Here is an 18,145-nt window from a genome sequence, read left to right as displayed (position 1 = left end):
CTATACTGACTTGAGAAGGAAAGAACGTTCATTGCTGTGGCCAATAGGATCCCCTCTCCCCACCTTCCCTTTTCTGCATCAAAATCTACACAGACAAAAGTCAGATGTTGTAATATGCATTTTATCGTGTCACTTAAGTACTAAGAGGTGCTTTTAAAGTTTTTATTAATGCTGCTCAAACTTGACCCCGACGGTCCAGGATACAGGCCAAGGTGTCAGTGCGGACACAATCGCAAGGCGGCTGTTAGGCTTCAGGGCTGGGCAGGAAACTTGCCAGGTGCTACTAGGAACGTATCAGCCCTTTCTACAAAGCAGGTGTCTTTCCCATCATAAAATGCAAAGCAATCAGCCGTTCCCTTTCTCCCCAGCCCCCTCGTCCGGAGACCGAGAGGATATTTACCCTGGGCTCTTGCAGTTCTCTTATAACTGAACCCAGCGGCGGCTCCTTCTCCGAGCTCAGAGCCAGCAGGCTCAGGCCCAGCCACACTTTACAGGCAAATTGCCGAGCTGACCAAGGGCTTTGGCCAAGCCCGAGCTGGGCCGGGGCGTCCGGGAAGCGGAAGGAGCCAGTCTAGGAAATCCGGGTGTGCGTGGTGGTGAAGCTGGTGGGCAAGCTTCCACTTCAGGTCCGGGGCTTTGTGTCCCGCAACAGACGCTTGGCGCCGCTCCTCTTCCAGCCTGCTGCCGCCTTCTCCGAGCGAGTGAGTTGGCGAAACTCACTCACCTGTCGGAACCCGGTGCCTGGCGGCCAGACGCGCAGATTACAGCAAACCTTGGCCGGGACGCCCCAGCCAGGGAGGCAAGTGTGGGAGCTGCTCCTAGAGGTGCCAGCTCCCACCCCCAGCTCCGCGCCCCCTGCTCGTCCCCTTTCACTTCCAGGCGCCTTCGGCTTGGGGTGCCCAGAAGGGCAAGTCCAGCAGACGCCAGGGCTGCAGGTTCAAGATGCTCCGCCTCCTCCTGCCACTTAGAGCCACAAACGCTAGCGGGAACCTTTCCACTCAGTCTTAGTCTGCGGTCACTGCTGAGGTTTTCAGAACTTTCCAGGCAAAGGCCAGCCAGGTCCTTTGCCTCCAACCCACTCCGCGCCTACCTCCCGCCTGGGGACACCCCTAGGCCCAGGAGATCCTACTCTCCCCCGAGCACCGACGTTCCAACTCGTCTGCGCCCCCGACTGCTGTCCGGCTCCTGTGCCAAGGGGCGCGCGCATCTTCCCGGGGCCAGCAACGCTCCCAACTTCTCGACTCGCCCTCCTCCTCCCCAGAGCGAGAGTGGGGCGGGCTGAGCCCGGATCCGGGGTGCACTCGAGCGTTCCCAGCGCTCGGCATTCACCCCGCCTCAGAGCCGACTTTCGAAGGGGGATTGAGCCTCGGAGGTCCAGGCGTCTTACTCCAAAGCTCAAGTCGGCCCCCGTCTTTTCTTTCCACACCCCTGTGCCCGTCGCATGCTGGCCGGGTGAGCGGCCGGGCCGAGGATTCGGGTGCCCGGGGCCGCGTCGCCCCGTCGGGTACTGAGCTGAGCGCACCATGGCCGGCTGCTGCTGCCTGTCCGCGGAGGAGAAGGAGTCGCAGCGCATCAGCGCGGAGATCGAGCGACAGCTTCGTCGGGACAAGAAGGACGCGCGCCGTGAGCTTAAGCTGCTGCTGCTGGGTGAGTGGCTGCGTCTCCGACTCCAGTGAGCCGGGCGTTTTTCTTCCGAGCCCTCCCGGCCTCTCCACTGGCACCCGCGCGGCCCTGGAGCCCAGCGGGGTGCAGGGCGGCTTCGTCCTTCTCCCCCTCGGAGCTCACGGATGCCAGCAACTTGGGGCCTTAGGTGCCTGTTCTTTCCATCTCTGGCTGGGCGACTTGCAAAAGCAACACCTTCCCCTGCCCCAAAACAGGATAGGGACCTGTAACACTTAACCTCTTGACCGCTGTACCTTATGTGTTCCGGTGTGCCCCTCTCCTCAAAACCCCGTCCACTCCTCCGCCCGCAGCACACCCAGCTTGGGGTCTGTGGTGACCCACATCTTGGGTTCAGCGCTAGCTCTGACCCGTACGCTTTCAGTTCTAGATGAAGCATCTTGAGAATTTACCATGTGCCAGATCGTGCTAAGTTCTTAAGGGCATCACCACCTGGTGATGCGGGCAGGTGATATCGCTATTCTAGAGAATTAAAACATGGAGGCCTGGAGAACTGACCAACTTGCCCTGATTGAGAAAAGGCAAAGCCGATGCTAGGTCAGCTGTGGGGGTGAAGCCCATGCCGTTGCTGCTCCTCTGACCGTGAGCTCCTATGCCTGCCTCCCATGGGGGTCCCTCAGGCCTTTGTGTTTGCAGCGGACCCAAACCTCCCTTGCCCAGCTTGACTCAGTGTGTCCACGTCCTAGGATTCAGCTTGGCTGCCCTGGTGCCTCTGGCAGGTCTTCATCCAGCTCTTTTGGTGTCTCTGCAAAGGTCTGGGTAGGACATCCACTTTCAAACACAGAAAGAACACAGTTTAAGGTTTGCCCAAGTTATGCCATGAGGCAAGGATCCCATCTCAGACTTTCTAGAACGCTGTCAACACATTTGCTGTTTGAGGAATATTTTACCTTTTCTACCTTTCAGACCATGATATCAGCTGTCAATTTTTTTCTAGATAGCCACAAAGATTTCAACTTTTTTTCTTTCACCCCTTTTGAACAGGAATCTTCTCTTATACCATCTATTTATTCATCTTTATTCCTTGTATAGGAATCACCCTCCCAGAAAGCTTCAAGGAAAGAAAAAGTTGATCTAGTTAGTGTAATATAGAGAAGGCTCTCAGCCAGTATGGCCTTCAGACCTGGGCGGAAGAACCCCCTTATCCTTATCCCCTGGGTTTAAAGGGCCCAGTCTGGCCTTCTGGGGGTTGGGGGGGGGTGTGCCCCTCCCCACAGAGCTGGAAGTCTGTAGGTCCAAAGGGGCTTGCTACCCAGAGACCATGCTGCCCCCTCCCTCCCAAGACCTGGATGGAATGAATACCCAGCCCAAAGGGACCCATACCAGCTTCTAAGGCCTGAGCCCTAGAAAAGAAGGCAGACCTGATCCCTGGAGAGCTCACAAAGGGGCAGCTGTTTGCTGGGGCGTAAAAGTGCTTGGAAATGTGGGCTGGGTAGGAGTGGAGGGAGTCCCCGTGGGTGCCCAAGAGGCCCCCCTAGGAGAGAGGGAGCTTGGGTGGGGAAGGGAAGGGGCTCTGTTCATTGGCCAGGTCTGCTATTTCTGTGTCTGACCCATAACTTTGAAAAGTCTGAAAATTCTAAATTGTCCCTGGCCTTCTAGGCTGTTATAAAGCTACCTTTGTCAAGGGAGGAGGAATACGTGAGAATTTGCTAGCTTGATTAACACTAGAAAATAACTATGGGTGCGGGGCTTTGTACTTTTGCCCTGAACCCCACAAACCAGAGGGGTTTAGTTGCGTATGTAACTTTTTTCTTTATAAGGGCAGGCTGAACCCTATTTCATTTTGCAATGCTTTGATTTGTGTCAATGTATGAAGTACAGTGTCCAGAATATACCAGGAGCTTGACAAATGCTGGCTCTTTGTATGAAAAATTGTGTAGTCAGCTGAGCTGTACTGTATTGGTAATAAGCCTGTTTGATGTAAAATTCTCGCATTTACCCACAAACTAGGGGAGAAATGTTTGTAGGTAAATTGTTTGCTCTGAAAGTCACATTAATCAGGGTGACCCGAGGGTCTTCTTTATCTTCCCAGGCCATTGCTCCAACCCTCCTCCTACCACCTTGAGGCACTGTCTGACCTCTGGAAACTCCCATTTTCATCTTGCGGAGTTGTGACTAGCATATCCCCTTAGTGAAAACTTTCCTGTGAAAAATAGTTTCTAAACCACACAGAGCCGTTCAGAACTCCAAGGATGGACTTCAAAACCTCTGATTTATTTCAATCTGTAAAGTCCTGGGGCATAGCTCCATTTCTTCTCAAGGAAGAGCCAATGACTCAGAAGTGACAGGAATTAGGGGAGGATGTGCACCATTTTGTCTGAAGTCATGCAATTCGAGTGAAAAATTCACCCATCTCTCTAGTGGGTAGATTAGAGCATCCACTGCTCAGGTGCCTCAGTTAAAAACCTCACTTTGCAAATGGGAGTTTGGAATCCTTTTGTGGAGTATGGGATGACCCCCAAAGACACCATCTCTTTCACAATGAAGCATGCTTTTGCAAAAAAATGATGTGAGGATGTTTCTGAAGTGCAGTATCCTGTTTCTGCTTAATAAAAGCACAGGTCAGTGTCTACTAGGGAAAGATAAAAGCTGTTGTTTGGTTAAGGCTAATAATTGCAAGATGTTGGTGTGACACTTTCTCATCAGAAAGAGATGGAGAAAATAAAGGAGATGGTTGAATTTAGTAGAAAGAAATTTCTTATCAGTTCCTTGCATAAAAGTAGGACAAAAAAGTTCTGATAAGAACATTGGTGAGTACTGATCAGCATAGGGAGAAAGTGTCAGGACAATAGCTATTAAATAAGGGAAAATGATGTTTTATTGATTTTCCTGTTAAATGCAGATTGGTGAAGTGTGGCTTGTTAATTGGGTTGAGTGTTTTAATTCTGGATGCAGACCTTACCTTGGAGCTCTCTGGAAGGAAGAGGAATTGAGCATTTAACAGATATGGCTGAATTAGTTTGCTAGGGCTGCCATAACAAAATACCACAGACTGGGAGGCTTCAACAAAGGAAATTAATTTTCTCACAGTTATGGAGCTGGAAGTCCAAGAGCAAGGTGTTGGCTTGGCAGGTTTGGTTTTTCCGGAGGCCTCTCTCCTTGGCTTGCAGACAGCTGCCTTCTCACTGTGGCCTCACATGGCCTTTCTTCTGGGCATGCACATTCCTGTGTCTTTTTTTTTTTTTTTTTTTTTTTTTTTGACACTCTTTAGGTTGGAGTTCAGTAATACAGTCACGGCTTCCTACGGCCTTGACCTCCTGGGCTCAAGCATCCTCCCACCTCAGCCTCCCTAGTAGTTGGGACTATAGGCGTGAGCCACCATGCTGGGCTTATTTTTATTTTTCTTGGTTTTTGTTGCCTAGGCTGGTCTCAAATGATCGCTGGGCTCAAACGATCCCTCTGCCTCAACCTCCCAAAGTGTCGGGATTACAGGCATGAGCCACTGTGTCGTGCCACTTCCTCTTCTTATAAGGATACCAGTTCCTATTTTATTAGGGCCCCACTCATTTTATCCTAATCACCTCTTTAAAGACATTATCTTCAAATACAGTTACATTCTGAGGTACTAGTGGTTGGGATTTCAACATAAAAACTTTGGCGGGAGGACTAAATTCAGCCAGAAACACTGGTGTAGAGATGAAAAATGTAGATTCTTAGCCCAGTCTGCCTGGGTTTGAACCCTAGCCCTACAGTGTCTTAGCTGTGGACTAAATTCTCTGGGCTTTGGATGGCAGTGAGTGCTCAGTATCAGCTATCATCACTCTGTTTTTTGAGTATTTTCAGGCCCTAGAGAGGTGTCATTTTCCATTTTAGTTGACCAACTGTGGGTTGCATAGAAGTTTGTATAAACTGTTGTGGTAGTGCTTTAACAGAAATGTTTTACTTTGAGTTTCCCTTAGTGTTTTCTGAGCCATAAACTGATTTAAAATTCCTCTTCCTGCTTACACCAAAAAGTTGAAAATCTGGTCCCAAAAAGTTTTATTGGATTGGTTATAACAAAATCCCATTTCAGAATTAGCCATCATGTTCCTGGGCAGGAAGTCCATTCCAGAAAATGGTGCAAATAGTGTGAGTTTTAAGGTAGAAAGTGACAACACCGATTGGGTGCGGTGGCTCACCCATGTAATCGCAGCACTTTGGGAGGCTGAGGCGGGCGGATCACCTGAGGTCAGGAGTTCAAGACCAGCCTGACAAACATGGAGAAACACTGTCTCTACTAAAAATACAAAATTAGCCGGGTGTGGTGGCACATGCTTGTAATCCCAGCTTCTCAGGAGGTTGAGGCAAGATAATCGCTTGAACCTGGGAGGTGGAGGTTGCAGTGAGCTGAGATAGCACCATTGCACTCCAGCCTGGGTGACAAGAGTGAAACTCTGTCTCAAAAAAAAAAAAAAAATGACAACACCTTCCCACTCTGAAGAAGAAAAGGAATGAAATGGTAAATATGCCCACGTTCCTTTATCTGAGCTTAGTTCAATGCAACAGCCTTTTCCAAGGTGCCAGCCACAGTGCAGGGATTCCTTCCCAAGGGCTGAGTTGGAGAAGGACAGTTCACAAATAGCTGTTATGAGGAAGATGGTCATAAAAGCTTAACAGAGATTAAGAGGTAGAACAGGCAGAGCGTAAAGGGGGAGCCTCTGGAGGAGGCATCATCTGAGTGGGCCTTGAACTATGGTGAGGGTAAGATGCAAACAATTGTCTGCGCATGGGGGCTTGGGTGAGACATGCACAAACTCTCCTCACCATCTAGGGAAATTTCTGAGGACAGTAAATGGTGTTCTTAGGATCTGGGATCATATGAAGGATCCCTTGGGGACCAGATTTCATTGAGTTTTGTGTTTGATTTTATTTTTGTTTGTTTGTTTTTTGAGACAGAGTCATGCTCTGTTGCTCAGGCTGGAGTGTAATGGCACGATCATGGCTCACTGCAACCTCTGCCTCCCAGGTTCAAGTGATTCTCCTGCCTCAGCCTCACAAGTAGCTGGAATTACAGGCATCCACTACCACGCCCAGCTAATTTTCATATATTTTTTAGTAGAGACAGGGTTTCACCATGTTGGCCAGGCTGGTCTCAAACTCCTGACCTCAAGTGATCTGCCTGCCTCAGCCTCCCAAAGTGCTGGGATTACATGCATGAGCCACCGTACCTGGCCTGTGTTTTATTTTAACCAGTTATGTGAGTATTGTGTTCACTCTAAAATAGACATTAAAATAAAAATGCTTGCTTTTTTGCCATAATATGCTTCAGAAAGGAGGATTGTGTGGTTTTGTCTGTGGCTTCTGTTCATCCTGGCTGGAGCAAACCAATCTCACTAGATAGTTTGCTTCCATCTATAACACAGCAGTTCCTGAGGCCTTTCAAGAGGCAAATGCACGTACCTCTTCTTCTGTCTACCCTTAAATGAATACAGAACCTTTTGAAATACTGGACTTTTACCCTCTGTACCTTTTGCAAATCATCTTTATTGAATACAGTAAGTCACCAGGCTTAAGTGTACACTTTGAGTTTTGACAAATGTATGATCACAATCTATAAACACTTCCATCATCCTGGAAAGTTCCCTGTGCCTTTGCAGTCAATCTCCTGCTCCAAATCTTTTTTTTTGTTTGTTTACTTTTTATTTGGAACCGATTTAAAATTTACAAAGAATTTGCAAGAATAAGAATAGCACAAACAACATAGGTATGCCCTTTTCCCTTGGCAGTGTTTGAGGGTAAGTTAAATGTATTGTGGCCTTTTTTTCCCTAAACTCTTAAGCGTGTTTTTCTAAAAATAGGGATAATCTCTTACATAAGCGCAGTACACTTATGAAAGGTCTGTACATTTCACTTTGATGCAATATTTGTGTCCAATCTATTATCCATATCCCAGTTTTGTTGGTTCACCCAATAACGTCCTTAGTGGTGTTCCCCCACCTCCAGTACAGGGTCCAGAGGAGGCTCAGGGATTGCATTTGGTTCTCATATCCTTTTAGTTTCTTTAATCTGGAACTTTTCCACAAAGTCATTGCTTCTACGACACTGAATTTTTGAAAAATACAGTCCCCTCTCCCTTTTTTTTTAACAGACGGTTTCTCATTTGGGATTTAACTGGTGATTTTCTTACGATTAGCGATCCCCACTGTGCTTTTCTGGCTGGAACACTGGATACGTGCTGTTGTGTCCTTCTCGGGGGTGGCATCTGGAGGCACACCATGTCCATCTGCTCCTCTGTGGTGGTGATAACTCTGATGGCCTGGTTAAGATATTGTCTGTTTTATCCACTGTATCATAATTTTGTGGAGAGACACTTTATAAGGCTAGTAAATACCCTGCTTCTTATCAAGATTTAGGAGTCATTGATGGTTTCCAGTTGATCCAATCTATAACATGGTATCTGCAGAATGATTTTCCAACTCCAGCACTCTCCACATTTACCAGTTGGCATTTGACATTCTACTGCAACAGCCTTACCTTTGCCCTTCCTTCCTTCCTTCCTTCCTTCCTTCCTTCCTTCCTTCCTTCCTTCCTTCCTTCCTTCCTTCCTTCCTTCCTTCCCCCCCCTCCCCTCCCCTCCCCTCCCCTCCCCTCCCCTCCTTCCTTCCTTCCCATGCAAATTCGTGAATACCTAGGTTTTTTTCCCTCAATGATTTTTTACTTCATTACTGTTCTTAATCATTTTGGTGCTCAAATCATACCCGACTTGTGCAATGAGATCCCCTTCAAGCTGGCTCCTGTGTCACTGTGACATGCCTCTGTCTGTTGTTTTTTTTTTTTTTTTTTTTTGAGCATTTTATTGTTTTCTGGCATAACATGCCCCAGGCTCGTCTTGTACCAATTCTTCCCCAGCTGGGGAAGAAATCAGCTGTTTCTCAGAGGGGCTCTGCTTCCTTTTATTGGAGAACTGGATCTTTTAAAAAAAATCTTTAAGCCACTTGAAACAAAGATATCAAGTCCCTAATTCAGATCAATTACTAGTACAGTATCCAAGTACCTAAAGAATCAAGGTGCTAAGTCATGTCATTAGAGGATGAAATTTTTGAGGCTTTAATAAGTCTTAAGCTGTGGGCAGATATAAAGTGGAAAAATCTGACAGTGGAGTTTGGCAAAAAGCAATGCAAATAAAGTCTTAATCTTCAAATGGTCTTTTTTTCTTTTTCTTTTTAAAAGATGCCTTCTAGTCTGTCATCTTTTGCTTTCTCATTTCCCATGATACTTAAACCACAAAGGGAAAAATACCACTGTAACAACTCCCATGTGTAGGGCTATATGAAGGGAGTTCATGATATTGGGAAGTCAGAGAGGGATTTTCAGTGAATTATTGGAGCAAAGCTATGATGATACTAAAGATGGTTGAAATTCAAAGAGGAGACAATCATTTATCGGAAGGACTGTCACCAGGGCATCTCATGGAATTCAAAGAGGATTTGAATAATAAATGAGAAAGAGCAAGTGCCAGGGCAGTTGGGTTAGGGGACTCAAGGCACAGCCATCAACAGGACTTGACCCCATCCCCTTCCAAGCTTGAGAGCCCTCTCTGCAGACCTTTATAGCCAGGTTGTGGCATCAGGGTGCACTCCTGGATCAATCAGTTCTGGCCAGGGGACATGTATCATGGACATGACTGTCACCTGAGTGCAGATGGCCGGGGACTGGGATCCCTGTGAGCCAGGTAGCCACAGCTACAACTACTGTTAGAGGAAGAAAATATACTAGCGGAAATCCAAGGGCTCTAAAGTTGGAAGGGACCACAAAAGCCTCTGCAAGAGCCCTCACATTCATTATGAAGATTGGCTCTCTGCTGATGGGTAAATTAGCCATGCTGGCCAAGATTCTTGATTGTTGACCATGTAAGCAGAGTAATAATTTATTAGAGTGGAAGCAGGAAATAGAATTAATGGAAATTGGAGAGGAGGCTCCGCAAAAGGGCAGGATTTAAGGGACTCTGGACATAGCAAATGCTAGTACCAGACAAGACTGTCAAGGACACAGTCAGTGGACTCCACCACCCTGCCAGTCGCTGCTGCTGCTGCTGCTAGACACTTATATTCACAGCAGAGCTGCAAATCACCTGTGACCATCTTCTGCACCCTGGTGTCACTTTTCAAAACCTCCATCTGTCTGATTGTGCTCATCTACCAGGTTGTTGGGGGGAGGCAGTGTGACACAGCGGTTAGCATGTTCTTTGGAGCCAGCCTTGCTGGGTTTAAAATATAGGCTTTTCCACTGATAAGCTGTGTGCATCCTGGAATGTACATTAGTTTCTTCATCTGTTAAAGGGGAATAACAACCCAATGAGGCACGTACTATTATGAGGATTAAATGAGTTGTCATTTTTAGAGCGTTTAGAATAGTGCCTGGCACATAGTCAGTGCTATTTATTTTAGGTGCTTGTTAAATAAAATTCTGCCAGCCTTAGCTTTCTACCATAGGGAAAGGGGGTGGGCTGCTGCCTCCTACCTTTCTTGAAACTCTTCCCCCAGAAGGTAAGTGCTCAGATGCTGGGCAGCGCCAAATTACAAAGATCTACAACAAAAATGTGATATTTTCCATAAAATAACTTTTCCTAAATGGATTGGTAAAGGCAAACTCAAAAACTAAAATGTAAGCTTTCAGACAGTGGAATCATGAAAAGAAAAGGAGGCAGATGTCTTTAAATATTAAGGTGTATTTAATATTGCTCTAGTTAATTTCTTGAATTTGTTTTTTAAAATCATGCCTTTATTCTACAGGGCTATGAAAATTTCACACATGTATCCTATTATCCCAGGAAATTGCCACAGCCCATCTGCCAGCATTGTCTCTGGTGTTAAACATTTGCCAAATCTCACCACTTCTTCCCCTATCCAAAGCTGCAATTCACCTGCGTTATTGCAGTGTCCTCTTGATTTCCCATCTCCCACATTTGCCCTTCTTTGGTCCATTTAAAAACTTAGATTTATATTATTACCTTACTTAAATTCAGTGTCTTTTACTTACACTTGGAATAAATGCCAAATGCTTTCCTACCTCTCGGAATGTACACAGGGTCATTCTCCCACTGGTTTGCTGGGCTGAAGCCAAACTCACCTTTGTGTTTTTCAAACACAACATTTGTTACCTCTGGGTCTTTAAGCTTGCTTTTTTTCCTGCCTGGAACATTCTTTTCTGTTCCCCACTCTTGTTCCACATACATGGCTGTTTCTTCCTTATCTTCACGTCTCAGCTCAAAAGTTCATCTCTTGACAAGGCCTTTCCAGATCACACTACCTGAAATTATCCTTGCACCATTTACTCTTAGTTGCCTGGTTCTATAACTTGGCTTTATTTCTTCATAGCTGTTATCTTGGAATTGACCTGATATTCTTATTTGCTTACTTGTTGACTTGTCTGCCCCCAAATAGATTGCAAGCTCTGTGAGAGTGGGGCTGTGCTATCTTGTTCCTGTATCCTGGCACCTGAACCAGTTTTGTGCCTGGTGCAATGTTTTAATAATGACTGGATGGTACAGTGTGAGCACTGAAAGCCAGAATGATACTTGACCAATCTGAAATGAGATAGGCTAGTTGACTATCAAATATGAAATATTCTTCCATGAATACATGTTGATATACCCATGTTACAGATAGAACAAGCAAGTGCTCATGATTATTCAGAGAGAGAGTCGTTAATTACTTCACTATAAGACTACATTTGATATTTAATATATTGATCTTCCAGTATTTTTTCAGAATAAACTTTTGCATATAAAACCAGAGAGTAGCAATAAAAGCTAAAGTTTTCTAGAATATGAACACAAAAGAAAAGTATTACCTATGTGATATGCCTGCTCCTGGTACTCTCTGTATTAACAACAAAAACAATTTTTCTTTTCATGGTTTACTAAAGCCTTGGCCTCCTGGGCTCAAGCAATCCTTCCACCTCAGCCTGCCGAGTAGCTGGGACTACAGGCATGCTACCACACCCGGCTAGGTTTTAAATATTTCTTTGGAGATGGGGTCTTGCTATTGCCCAGGCTGGTTTTGAACTCCTGGCCTCAAGCGATCCTCCTACCTCAGCCTTCAGAGTCATTGGAATCACAGGCATGAGCCACTGCACCCAGCTCAACAACTTTAACAATAGAATAGATAACAAGTTAAAATATACTTTTTAATTTAAGAAAATTATAGGGTTGCTGATAAGATATAGAAATTCCTTCCATATGTGGTTTGAATTGTGCAAAATTTAAATTTTCTCTGAAGTTGATGGGTGAGATGAGGTCAACATCTTCTCAATGGCCACTGCAGGTTTTAGGGCCAGATCTCTGTTTTTTTCCCTTTTCAGTGTGTGCTTCTTAGGTTTAAAGAGTCTATTATAACGAGAGTCAAGGTAAAGGAGACAGTGATATTCTTGGAATTGTGGAACAAAAAAGGAAATTAATAGCAAAGAACAGTGAAAAGTGGTAAGACTTTGGAAGCTGAAAGTTCAAGCCAGCAGAAATCTGATTAGTTCATGACCCAGTACCTCTTAATGGAAACTATTTTTTTCTTCAAGAAGTTAGTACTCCAGGAGCTGTAAACATCACCAGTAAATGTATGTTTTACCTTGGCAAGAATCGTTTCAAAAAGTAGCAAATGTTCATGTTTGCATAGATCCTTGTACTTGCATGTACTCTTCAAAAAACTGTGCTCCTAAAAACTGCAATGATCTTATGGCTAATAACCATTAGGTAGTTATGCTTCTATTAATGGACTTAGGAGTGCTGAGGAACCATATTCTAGTAAGAGCCATCATATATCAGTCTTCTCGTTGAAAATTCACTCTCCATGGAACATTGGCTTGTGCTGCGGTTTGAATGTTTGTCTCTTTCAAATCTCATGTTGAAAATTTGATCCCCAGTGTTGGAGGTGGGACCTGCTGCGAGGTGTTTAGGTCGTCGGGTCAGATCCCTCAAGAATAGATTAGTGCCCTCCCTTGGGAGTGAGTTCTCACTGTATTCTTGAGAGAGCTGGTTGTTCAGAAGAGCCTGGCACTTCCCCACCTCTCTTGCTTCCTCTCTTACCACATTATCTCTACACACACCAGCTCTCCTTCACCTTCCCCCAAGAGTGGAAGCAGCCCAAGGCCCTCATCAGATGCAGATGCCTAGTTTTGAGCTTTCTAGCCATGAGATTCATGAGCCAAATAAACCTCTTTTCTTTATAAATTACCCAGCCTCAGGTATTCCTTTATAACACAGAATGGATTAAGATGGCTGATATTTCCATCCAAAGAGTAATACTCCTGTTGTCAAGTTTGCTTTTTAAAAATTGACTGACAAATTCTAATATTTTGTGCTTTTTTAATGAATGAGAGAAAAAAGTAAAATGTATGTTTTATTGTTTTGCCTGAAAGCCATCTTCTGTATTGATGATCAGTTGTCAGTTATTATTAGATGGATTATCCATGCCATTTCTCTCTTGAATCTGCCATAAATAAGACCTTCCTTTCTGAGTAACCCATCCCAGAATATTTGCTTCTGTTGCTCAGCTACTGTGTAATTGAAAAATATGTTAATTATATTACTAATAAAAATCAAATGAAGGTGATTAATCTTTTGTAGAATTATCTTCTAATCCATTTAGTGGTAAGCCATTAGTAGTCTTCATCAACACCACTCAAAATGCACCTGTGTTTAGAAACCTTTATAGCAATTTAACATTGCTGTGGCATCAAAGAGTATTTTTATTGAAGACTGATACATTTATGAAATACAACTGATGGAAAATTTTAAAAATTGGTTCCTTCCTACAGTGTTTGAGAAACACAAGTACAAACTTTGATCCTATGGATGGGGTGGCAAAGGTCCAGAGGAGTGAAGGGACTCAGCAGATGTCACGGGGCCAGGTGATTAGTAGCTAATTGGCAGAAGGGCCCAGAGTTAGTCTGAGTCTTCATGTTGAATTTCCTAGTTTCTAAGGCAACATTGATTATGAGATATGCCATTGATTTGAAAACAGCCTTTCAGAAAAGCAAATGCCACCATAGTAAATATACACATCAATGCAAAGGCATTTCACCCTCAAAAATGTTAATTTATATGGACATAAGCCTTGGACTCAAGGATATAGGTAATTTACTTTTCTCTCTTTTTTCCTTACCAGATAGTACAAATTTAAAACAAAGCAAAACTATTCAAATACTATGTCAAAACTAGTTATTGACATAGTATTTGATTTTATGAAATCAATTTAAGTGCTAAAATTAGACTAGAAAAGAAACCTCTGTGTATTGCCATCAGCCCACTGGTTTCTGTTTCAAGTGGTCTTATATGCGATCTTGAAAATAGTTACTTCTTGGAATAGCATGCTGTCATTTATACAGAAGGCTTAAAAACATAATAGTGACCATGCACTCACTTCAGCAGCACATATACTAAAATTGGAGTGATACACAGAAGATTAGCATGGCCCCTATGCAAGGATGACATGCAGATTCATGAAGCATTCCATATTTTTTGATTTTTGGGACTCAGGGAAAATGGTGGGGGAGGGGGTGAAGGCTAGAAGACTACACGTTGGGTCCAGTGTACACTGTTTGGGTGATGGGTGCGCCAGAACCTCAGAAATCACCACTTCAGAACTTACTTGGGTAACCAAACACCACCTGTTCCCCAAAAAAACCTATTGAAATAAATGAAATAATAATAGTGACCAAACGTGTGTGGGAACTCCAATGTATGATATTATATGCTCCAATGTCTGAATAACTGTGGATTGACTACATCCTGGCAATTTGATGAGTGTTGAAGAGTTTCACATGAGACCTTGAACTCCATGAGATCTCTGCTCACTATTGAACCCACAATGCTAAGTGCAGAACTTAGCTCAAATACTGGTTGAATGAAGATATGTCTCTCTCTTTATAGTGGTTTACATGAAATACCAGCTGAGTAGTATAAAGAATTCCTTACAGTAGCTGAAAGTCTTTTTTGTTTGTGATTGTCTAAGAAGGTTCATAAAAGGAACACAGGCCTGGGCTGGGCCTTGAAGAAAGGAAAATTGGAGAATTCCAGAATTGATTTTTTTTGGATAAGTGGTATAAGGATATGAAAATTGAGCCTGGATTCCAGGAATAAGATGAGATTTGGAAAATAATACTTCTCGTATTCTGCCTGCCTGCCTGCCTTTTTGCCTCCTCCCTCCCTCCCTCTGTCCCTCACTCCCTTCCTTCCTTCCTTCCTTCCTTCCCTCCTTCCTTTCCTTTCCTTTCGCTTCCTTCCTTCCTTTTTTTTTTTTTTTTTCTTTTTGAGACAGGGTCTCACTCTGTTGCCTAGGCTGGAGTGCAGTGGTGTGATCAACTTCTGTCTCAAACTTCTGGGTTCAAGGGATCCTCTCACTTCAGCCTCCTGAGTAGCTGGGACTGCAGGTGCATCAGTATGCCCAGCTTATTTATTTATTTATTGTAGATACAAGGTGTCCCTGTGTTGCCCAGGCTGGTCTTGAACTCCTGCTCTCAAGCAATCCTCCTGCCTCAGCCTCCCATAGCACAGAAGATTATAGGCATGAACCAGCCCATTTTCTTGTATTTTCATAAAGACTTTTCCTAGTAACTATACATGGTAAGATTTTGATATGTAACCAAAACTACAGTTGAGAAATTTGTAAATTGTTCTTTTCTGTTGCTTTACTTTGAAACAGTTGGCTCACCAGAATCGAGTCTTTTTTTATTCTTTTTCTGTCATACCTAATGCTAATAATGGAAAAGGCAATATTAAAGCAGTGACGTTTATACATTCAGTCATTATTCTGGGTACTTTAATCAGTGATTTCATTTATTTCTCACCATGTTTGAGGTAGAGGTAGTATCCTCTCCATTCTACAGATGGGAAAATTGAGGCCTATCCTATGGCAAGATTGACTGGCCAGAGTGGGGCCAGGGTTTGAATCCAGGTGGTCTGATGCCAGAGCCTTGGTTCTTAATCACAGTTCTGCTTTTGCCTCCTAGAGCCAGACAGCTCACCAAAATCTACCCCATGGGGGCAAATATCTGCTGTGCCCGCTTCTTGCCATCCTCTCTGCCACCCCCATCTCTATCTGAATTGCTAAATTTATCTATCATTCCCTAGCCCCAAATTCACTATTCACTCTGCCAGCCAGAGTGACCTTTTAAAAATGTAAATTGGATTGTTGTTTTTCTGCTTAGAACATTTCTATGTCTTGGGTGCAAATTTAAATCTGTGCATGGCCTGTGAGACCCTTTATCTGTCCCCTAATGACCCTCTGCCATTATTCCCCATGATTACTTAGTTCTGGCCACAGAACCATATTTTAGAATCTTCAACGGGCCAGACTCATCCTTCTTAGGCCTCTGCACATGCCAATCTGTCTGCCTACAACACTCTTTTCTGCTGGTCTTCTAGTGAACTGATACTCATTTTGAGAATGCATCTTAAATATCTCTTCCTCCTGGAAGCCTTTGCTGACACCCCAGTCCAAATTAAGTTCCTCAGAATATTTCTCCCATAGCACCTTCTACATTTCTTTTTAAAAATAGTGCTTTTCCTAGTTTGAAATTGTACTTATCATCCTCCTTCTCCGCTAGCCTCTAAATTTTATGAGTGTAGAGACTATTGTAACATGAGAATCCTCAGCAACTTGTATAGTGCCTGGGTGTTTCATAACATTTGCTAAATGGAGAAATACATTACTTTTACAGGATCTTTGGGGTATTTTTCTGTCTGGAAACCTCTGTGGCTGGTGGCACCTTTGCCTGAGTTTTGCTAAGGCCCATTGAGCTTGTTTTGCTCACTTGGCCTGGCAAGCTGTGCTTGGCTCACATTACCAGCCTGAGTCCCACACCTGCCAAGGGAGAGTCAGGCATGGAATAGTGAGGGGTGTGTGAGCGAGCATGGGGTCCGGCCACTGTGCAGAGTCAGACATGCCTTTTGCTGTAGCAGGGTGGGCAGCTCCAGGTGCCAGCAAAGGCACCGGCTCTCTGTGAGGCTGCGGCCAGACCAGGCACGCCACAAGCAGCTTCCACTGCTGGCACTGGGGAACATGGTGGCATCCAGAAGCTTGGAGACTCCAGGAACCTTAGGGCCCCAAAGGGAGTCACAGCCCTGGCTTAGGGGACGCCTAGGTCTGGGGTCCTCAAAGGGCCACAGCTCTTCTCTCCTCTTTGTCCACAATGTGGCAAGCAAGGGGCATATTTCAGCCCTGTTTGTGTTACAGCTCTTTTAGCCCCTACAGGGCCACAGAGGGGAGGAAGTGTGCACCGATTGGTCCATGGGTGGCCATGGGTAGGCCTGGAAAAGGCACCACAAGTTCCCACTCTGGTCCATGGGACTGGCAGCCCAGCCAACAGCCTTCAGGCCCTCACTAGGGACCCACCTCCTGTCCAGGAGCCTGTCTGCCTCCAGCTGCTGTTCATGGCACCCATGGCACCCAGGATGCCCATGTGCCAAGAGGTGCCTGTGGCCCAGCACCAAGCTTCCCTCAGTGCCCCCCTTGGCTTCCCATGGCCCCAACTTTGCTCTGAGATTGGAGTGGGTGCCAACAGCAGGGAGAAGCCAGGCAGCAGAAGCAGGCACTTCCAAGCCTGCAAGGGCAGTGGGGGCCTTCCTGGGCTGCCAAGGGTATAGGGGTGCCTGGGTCTGCAGCTGTGGTTTTGGCAGCTGCAGCGGTGGCCAGCAGGGTAGGGCTCCTGCCTGCTCCTGAGCCCTGAGAGCACAGGGATGCCTGGGTCTGCAGCTGCAGTTTGGGCGGCTGCTGCAGCACCCAGGCAGCTTCCACCCCAACTCAGAAGGGGCGAGGATCCTGCTTGTGCCTGCCTCTTACCAGCTCCATGGAACATGCAGCCCCAGCCACGCTTTCCTGCTGCAGCCGGCATGATGGCAGCGGCTGCTCCAGATGGCCCGCCACTGCCATCATTACCATTTAGTATCAACATTATTGCATAAAGAAAGAATACTTGAACTTCAAATAGTAGAAGGGCCTAATGGAAGATAACACTTTAAATTGAATAAACTTAAATGTATGATGAACTCATGCTCATTATGTGTTTTTGTTTTATTTTACTTTTTGCTAATGAAAACTTCACTAGATACTGACATTGTACTGTGGGCCAATGTTCTAGAGCCACTGATTTATTGTATGCATCTTATGTGCTTCCTAAACTTTCAGATTTTCTTTATGCACATATGTGAATAGATGCTCTTGATGGTTTTTTACTTTTTTTTTTTTTTTTTTTTTACATAAAAAGTGGCATATTTGTGGCAGAGACTGCTAGCAGTCTCCTGAATACAGATTCTCTGTAATACAAGATGTTTTATCTGGGCACATGGATACCCAGCTAAATACTATAGTTCTTAGCTTAGCTGCTGCTAATTGTGGCCATGTGATGATGGGATGTAAACTGAAGTGATGTAGCAATTTCTGAGTGATGACCTGAAAAGGAAAGGAGGCTTTCTTCCCTTCTAGAGGAAGATGTAACCTGACGGTAGGAGCTGCAGCAGCCATATTTTACCATAAGATGGAAGTAAGGTGTT

At 45.0% G+C, this 18,145-nt stretch overlaps 1 protein-coding gene and 1 pseudogene across 1 annotated transcript in view; both read left to right on the top strand.

Moving 5' to 3' along the window:
- Positions 1-994: 994 nt before the first annotated feature.
- The window catches only part of GNA14 (G protein subunit alpha 14), a 225,244-nt gene continuing 208,093 nt past the window's right edge, over positions 995-18,145 (top strand). The window contains exon 1 of the mRNA NM_004297.4: positions 995-1,647. Within this exon, the coding sequence (NP_004288.1) occupies positions 1,524-1,647 (124 nt within the window). The 5' untranslated portion in view covers positions 995-1,523. The remainder of the gene's footprint in view (positions 1,648-18,145) is intronic.
- RNU6-1303P (RNA, U6 small nuclear 1303, pseudogene) lies at positions 14,008-14,114 on the top strand (annotated as a pseudogene).

Source organism: Homo sapiens, chromosome 9, assembly GCF_000001405.40.
Source record: "Homo sapiens chromosome 9, GRCh38.p14 Primary Assembly".
Lineage (NCBI taxonomy): Eukaryota > Metazoa > Chordata > Mammalia > Primates > Hominidae > Homo > Homo sapiens.
Note: the sequence above shows the minus strand (reverse complement) of the source record. Positions and strands in the feature narration are given on the sequence as shown.